The following is an 8,144-nucleotide window of genomic DNA, read 5'->3' on the forward strand; positions in this document are numbered from 1 at the left end:
AAATACATTAACTGGGCTCTTATTGTGTGCCAGGAACTGTTCCTAGCACAAGAAACACATGAAATGAACCTACAAAAATTTCTACTCTAAGGAATATGGAGTCTATTGTCCTGACAGCATCTACATTTATTATCTTAGCTTTACTTTAGGTTTCCAATTCAAAATAGCGCACAATTTCAAATTTTCCACCTTTCCTCCTACCCCATTCATCTCTGTTTATATTGAGAATAGAATTGTAGTGGTATTTTTCAAGTTCTATGTTTTGTAGCAAAATAATATGGAGGATATGTTGACAAGAGGAATATACACTGCTTTAAAGGTTAAATTGAAGTAAAAGATAACTATCTGTGACACTGTAAATCTTTCTTTCACGTCCTTGAAATCAAGTTGGCCATGTGAGTAAGGTCATTGATAAGTTGAAAGAAGCCAGGTCATCTATCAACTTTGTAACCTGAACATCCAATTGATCTTTGTGAGTCCACTTCCCTGCCTGTAGCTTGGGCAAAATAATGAAACTTAATGTCAGTTTATGATTTTACATTATGAAATCAATTTATACATGTATGTGAATGAATCCTCTTAATTAATTGATTGATTGCTCCACCAATATTAGTTATTTTTAAATTTTCCAGGATCTGGCTTAGTAAGTACTCAATAAATGTCCTTGAACTAACATGGTTAAAACCATTAGAACTTTCTCAATTTATTGTACGTTTTCTTGTAATAAACCAACCTCCCAGTACATATATGTATGTATGTATGTATATATATACATATATATATATATATACATATATATATATATATACATAAATGAAAATATCTGGTGGTTATTCAATAAACCATTTTGTCAGTGATAGAAATACTGATTCAACTGCCAACTCATAAATGAAAAATTCATATGGCGGTCTGCGTGTATATTTATGTAATATTTCTTATCAGTCATCACAGATATTAACCGTTTAATGATCTTTGCATTGATACATTTCTTGAGTGTTTAGGTTATTCACCTATACATCCTCAAAGGCTAGCAAGGCCTAATGCATGATAAAAAATTCAATTTTACATATAATATGTATATGTATAATTCTACATATTATATTTTATATATATATGTTTCTCTTGCAGGATCACTATGGGAACTTTTAAATAGATATTATATTTATTCTACTGATGACAGATATAAACTAAATAGAGTAATCAATTAGAAGTTTCTTAAGTGATATGAGCCAAAGAGACTCTGGTGACTGATGAGTATCGATGCATACTGTTTTTCTTTGAGTAAGTCATTCACCCATTATGTAAAATTTTTAGCCAACTGGTAAAATATAAAGGCAGTTTACCCTTGATATACATGTTCTTCTAGCTAAATATGGGTTTATTTATTTCTTTTAAGCTCAAATAAACACACAGGTAAGCCATTGATCCTTTGCATATTCAGTGTCAGAATAAAGGGACAGTTGTCTTCTTTAGTCATTTTTAGGATGACCAAAGTCCAGAAATCACCCATCAAGTGAGTGGGTGGATGATGCCAACCAGTGCTCAGGAATGGCGAAGACCTCACCGTTAGTTAGCAAGCATTGATACAGTAACTTGGTGCATAGTCATTCAACAGATAGGGATAATGGAATAAGTGAATAAAACACTGAAAAGTCAAAAAAATAGGACCAAACACATCCATTTTGAATTAGCCAAGTTTGTGGCAAGAGAGAAGCTTGATGTTTTTCTTTCTGGAGATAAGGGCAGTACTGAATGTCTATAAATTTTTGAACAAGGCATCTCAAATTTTAATGTGCATATAAATGACTTAGGACTCTTGTTAAAATGCAAGTTCTTATTCATCAGTTCTTGATGGGCCCTAAGATTCTATATTTCTAACAAGCAGCTAGGTGATGCTGATGTTGTTCTTTGGACCACACTTTAAATAGTAACTGTATAGATTATAACCTTTTATATTTTTCACTTACTTTATTGATATATTTTATATGTTTATAGTTTTTTAGGCATTTTCATTATGTCACATTTAGATATGCATTACATTGCTAAATTTTTACAATAAATTTGATAGACTGGCATGGAATATACTGTCAGTAATTCCATTTTAAAGAAGCTGAGACTTAGAAGTTAAATCATGATGTCAAATCACTTAGAAGTTAAATGATGATGTAAACCACTCCATATCAATTGTCCCAGAGCTCCTTCCTCTACATCTTTCTGTCTTCATTGGCCTTTTACACACAGAAAACTGCCTGTGCATGTGGTATATATCATAAAGTCAAGAAACATGTCAAAAACAGATTTTAAAAAAATTATTAACCAATGATTTCCTTTCCATAAAGATAATGTTGTTGGACCTACTGTGGCTATAGTGGCTTTTGAAATATTTTTTTCTGCCTTAGATATTAAAGACATAACTCACAGAACAGATAATATAGGAGCTAAGACACAAGGTTAGAATAAATCTATGCAACAAACGACATGAATACCACATGATACATTAGAAGAAAACATGTGCAAACAGACCAAGGATAAAGACATGTTTACCGCTAGAAAGTCATGGGCAGGTGGGATAGTTTGTTGATGAAATTCGAGGTTAGATGAATAAATAGGATGTTTTCAGTGAGGGACTGAGTGAAAGGGGAAGATTCAAAAGACATTGAGAAGAGAAAAATTCACAGAACTGGTAATGGTTTTTAAATGTCTGTGTGGGCTTCTGGTGATGGTTGTGGTGGATTAAACAAGTAGAAACTATGGAAATAAATATGTTGAGGGCAGTATGACAATGAATGACAGTAACCTAGCACTGTTCCCTACAGATGTCCATTTTGTAAAGATAAGTAGCATAGGCTTGTGGTAGATCTTTAAAGAGAAAATGTAAACAAGATAATAAGTTAATGATTTTGTATATTTATTCAGGGAAGAGATAATAAGAATCAGAAAAAAACAGGTTTTACCCAGAAGAATTAAAAAAATGGAGAGAATAAATTTGGGAGACACATAACTTCGTGCCTACTTGGATGCTGGGTTCTGAAACAGAAAGAAGAGTTGTAAATGACTCAGAAGTTTAAGCCAATGTAACTGAATGGCAAGTCATGACTTCCATGAGATAAGAGCAAAAGAAAAAAGGACAATGGAAGAGATGTTGAGTTCAATTTTAAGGAAAATGTTTTGCAGACAGAATAACCATATAAAGAAGAAGTTGATTAGCAGTTAGAAATGCAGTTACAGAACTGTGAAAATTTTGTATATGAATATTAATTTTCTTTTATTTTCTTTTTTTTTTTTTTTTTTTGAGACGGAGTCTTGCTCTGTTGCCAGACTGGAGTGCAGTGGCGCCATCTCAGCTCACTGCAACCTCCGCCTCCTTGGTTCAAGGGATTCCCCTGCCTCAGCCTCCCAAGTAGCTGGGACTACAGGCATGCTCCATCATGCCCGGCTAATTTTTTTGTATTTTAGTACAGATGCAGTTTCACCATGTTGGCCAGGATGGTCTGGATCTCCTGACCTCATGATCCGCCAGCCTCGGCCTCCCAAAGTGCTGGGATTAAAGGCGTGAGACACTGCGCCCGGCTTAATTTTCTTAATATAAAAGTAAGATAAGTGATTGCATATTACTTATGCAAGTTTTTTTTATAAACATGTTTTTTCTCTTGTGTTAACTTATTTAGTTTATTTGAAGATTGTCTGACAAAAAACTGTGTTTTCGGTGCACAGCATTAAACACAGGTTTCTGATAATTTTAAATCAATGGACCAAATAAAATTGTACATAAAGAAACTGATGGATCCATGAAACTGCTAATAGAGATCAAGCTGAAAATAAGCTGATTATATAACATTAAATAACTGATAAAGATAATGTTTTTATGACTGTTATTTAAAATATTATTGATCCTTTACTTAAATGCTTTGTTTTCCAGATTTCAAAAAAAGTCTTTCTTAAGCAATTTGGTAAAATATAGTTGTGTAAACAAAGATAAAAACATTTTTCTTCTTATTTAATTTCTCCAAAAATTTAAAAACTATTTGCAAATATTTTTATGGCAATATGGTTATTTACAAAAGTCCAATAAAATCTGCTCTCTCTTTACAGCAAAATACAATTGAAAACATTGCTTATACTACCAAGGTGCCAAGGCTTCAATTAAAATGTCACATTTTACAATATGTCCAAAATTTCTGACTTCAAGAGTTCCCATTCTTACAATAAGTAAATAAAAACTGTCATTTCCTGGAAGGCCCAGGAACCTTAAGACAGTAAGCAAATTCTAAAGTCTGCCTTGGTTTGGCTTCCTAGCTTCAAGAGTTTTTTAAATCTAGGGTTTCTATATGATCAATTAAAAACATGTTTACAAAGAAAAGCTATAATACACCTGTTATTAGATTGTAACTCTATATATCATTTTTAGTTATTGTTATCTATCTATAGGCTAGACTAGGTCTTAAATTGTTTTAGGTTCCTCCAATTCAACTTTCTTCCATAAAAGTGGTAAAATGAGAACTGCTCTGTCCTTAAAGCCCTATAAGGTAATGCTAGGCAAGTTCTAAAGAACAATTCTCATGTCTGGTATATGAAACACAGAAAGTTCACAAAACCGCCTGATGCCACGACCAAAGACATTCAAACTACAAACTAGGACAAAAAGTTTCTGTTTTCCACATGAAACAACTTTCCTTGAGATGTTGGAACAAGATTCCTTATTATTATGAGACTCTTACACCCCTCAAGGCTGCCTTTTTCATTGACTGGATAATGGCATAATTAAAATTTCAGTCAGTAGCTTCTGTTGGTAACTTGACATATCTTGACCTAAGAAATCCCTTTTATCTGTACTGTGAGCAGCTCTGACAATATCCCTATCACAACTTTTTGTTCAAATTGTACTGGTAATCCTTTTGGTAAAGCTGGTATTCTCTGCTTTAATTCAACCCAGTCATAAACTACTACTCAGTGGCTATAACAAGTCTCAGCAGAATATGTCTAGACTTTTAGATATGTTTTGTTGGTTACCTTCAGAATTAGGTTTAAGCTTTCAAACTAGTTATTCAAACTGGATTTATTATATGTTTACTGACGGTTTTTTGTATGATAATTTTTAAGCTTTGTTTCTATTGCCTGTCTAATCTTTGTAAAGCCAACTCTTCCAACAGGATAATATTAGTTCAATACCTCAAGATGATTGCTGATGTCTGCCCAGGGACAGATAAAATGGAATTTGATGCTGGGATCCAGCCAAATCTGCCCTGAGAACATTTTTCTTTCTGGCCCATTTGTTACTTAAATGTGGCCTAAGTCTCTGATGACCCCAAACATTTCCCCAGACATGGGACAGAGACAACTAGGACAGGTTCATCTTGGCATGAAGGGATAATTAAGCCTAACTGTAAAATGATTGATTAGTGATGCTTTCAGATAAGGATGTTGATCAAAAGGGGGGAAATGTGAAAGCTGATAATCTAAATTGGGTCATTCTTGTCATACTCAACTAAAACAAAGTCTAGAAAAGCCAGGGGGAGAAAACACTCAGGGCACAAAACAGGGCTCCAAGAATGTAATTCTCTGCACATACTTGACTGCTGGAATTGCTTGTTGTAACCTGAAACCAGTTTTATCTATAGCTTCCGAGATAACTTGCTGCAACTCTAGGACTAATTTTGTCCACCTCTGTCACTCACCAATGGGAGCTGGCTAAACTTTCTCGAAAAACAATACATAAAATCTATCCTTTCTTAATAAATCCTCTAATCTTGTCTTTGTTCTTTAGACATAATCAAAGACCACCCAGTCTGCAGGTATGTCATGAATTGCTATTCTTTCTTCCCAAATAAAACATGAAATTTAGAAAATTGTCTTTATATCTTTATTTTTACTTCAAATGCATGTCATGTTTGCCACCATTTTTATAAAGGGGTAAAGAAAAAAAAAGAAATTTAGTGTCCAACAATATGCTATGCTAAAAATAAATAATTGTTATACTGTTGCTCCAGTATTTAAAAGCATAGTCATTTTTTGTTGTTTTATTTTTAACCGTTGCTGGTTAAATGATTTAGCTTTGCTAAAGAGAGGATTTTTTCTTTTTCTGAGAAATAAGAGGTGGAAAACATTGTCTAATATTGCTGAGGGGTCATAATAAGCAAGAAAACCATCCTCCGGATTTGGCAATAAATGTTATTGGTCACCTTTATAGGAGAGGATTTAGAAGAAAAGATTACCAAGCAGTACTTCTTCATAAATACTCAGGTTTAATTTAATTTATCTTTTCATTATTCCCACAAAACTCTGGGGAAATTTTTTCTTCCTCTTAATTAAAAAAATTTCCTCCATCTAGAGTATGTATTCCAACACTTCTTATATCTGGGACAGTTCTTTCTTAATTAATATCTCTCTGTGCTGGTTCCTTGCTCCTCCTCTTCATGGAATACTTCACCCTATCATAAACATGAAGACAGTAAAAATATGTCTTTGATTCTACATACAAGAATATCATTTTTGGCCTCCCTTTGACAACAAACTCCTCACAAAAGTAGTTTGTGCATTTTCTTCACTTATGATTGATGCATTTTTTTAATTCCTATAAACTAATTTCTGTTTCCACCACTCTACTGAAAATGCTCTCCAAACATTCACAGGATGACAGGGTTTTTGGTAATATGTATTGGCTTTGTCTCACTCATCTTACCCCCATGACCTTTCTGAGACATTGATACTGACTCCTGACATTCCCACTTTTTCCTGAAAGTGTTTCCACTTTGGGAGGCTGGCACACTGTAGTCCCTGATCTTTCTGGTAACACTTTTTTTCTCTTCACTAGTTATTTTGCTTTTCCAAGAAGTTGTTCTCGGTTCTTTTCTTTTTTCTTATGCTCATTTTTAAAAAATAATTTCAACTTTTATTTTAGATTTAAAAGGTACATGTGCAGGGTTGTTACCTGGGTATATCGTGTGATACTGTGGTTTGGGGTACAAATGATCCCATCAGCAAGGTAGTGAGCATATCACCCAATAGTTAGTTTCTCAACCCTTTGTCCCCTCTCTTTCTCCCATCTCTAGTAGTCCTAAGTGTCTATTTTTGCCATCTTTATGTCCATGAGTATCTAATGTTTAGCTCCCAGTTATAACTGAGAACTTGCAGTATTTGCTTTTCTGTTCCTGCACTGATTCACTTAGGATAACGACTTCCAGCTGCATCAATTTTGCTTCAAAGGACATGATTTTATTCTTTTTATGGCTGCATAGTATTCCATCATGTAGTTGTACCATATTTTCTTTATCCAATCCACCATGGATGGGCACCTAGCTTGATTCCATGTCTTTGTTATTGTGAGTAGTGCTGTGATGAACATATGAGTGCACGTGTGTGTTTTTTTTTTTTTTTGGTAGAAAGCTTTTGCATAAATACCCAGTAATTGGATTGCTGGATTGAATGGTAGTTCTGTTTCAAGTTCTTTCAGAAATTTCTAAACTAGTTTCCACAGTGTCTGAGCTAATTTACATTCCCATCAACAATATATAAGTATTCCTTTTTCTCAGGTTTGAAGAACTCTCTTTCCTTTGTCTTCTACTCTGGACCTCTCGCCTCATAAATACAAAACCCAGCCTGAGGATTCAAAGTGAATGTTCCCAAATTACAAGTGTCTATAGAAAATCTCTATGTAGAGTCTCCACAAGCACTCACCCCACTTGAATTCCCTTTGCAACTTCTAGTTAATCACCTTCATCTTCCCATGCTTCAGACCTTGTAGTTATACAGAACTAATGTCATCAACACCTATTATTTTCATATGAAACAGTTTGATGATTACAAAAGCCATTATAACACAGTACAGAGAGAATGATAGTCTGTTTAAAGCACAAGTACTCACAGGCCTGAAGGAATATGTAACAAAATGTCATTAGTAGTTTTCAATAGGTTTCAAAGCTGAGTGATTTTTTAAAACTTAAAAAATCATTTACTGAACATTAGTCATGGCTCTAAATAATTTTGAAAGTAATCAATGTTAATTAATTTAATGTAAATATTCCAAGGTCATTACTTTCTCTTTATGCAACCTTTATGTTGCTCCTACTTTTATTTTATAATACCTAGATTGTTATAAAAGATTTTGGTTCAAACTCCTGATTCTAATTTATTTCTATAGAATTTCA

At 33.6% G+C, this 8,144-nt stretch overlaps 1 protein-coding gene across 1 annotated transcript in view; it reads right to left on the bottom strand.

The window, feature by feature from the left end:
- The window catches only part of TRDN (triadin), a 420,612-nt gene that overhangs the window by 84,641 nt on the left and 327,827 nt on the right, over positions 1-8,144 (bottom strand). The gene's annotated exons all lie outside the window — the stretch shown is intronic.

Source organism: Homo sapiens, chromosome 6 (assembly GCF_000001405.40).
Source record: "Homo sapiens chromosome 6, GRCh38.p14 Primary Assembly".
Lineage (NCBI taxonomy): Eukaryota > Metazoa > Chordata > Mammalia > Primates > Hominidae > Homo > Homo sapiens.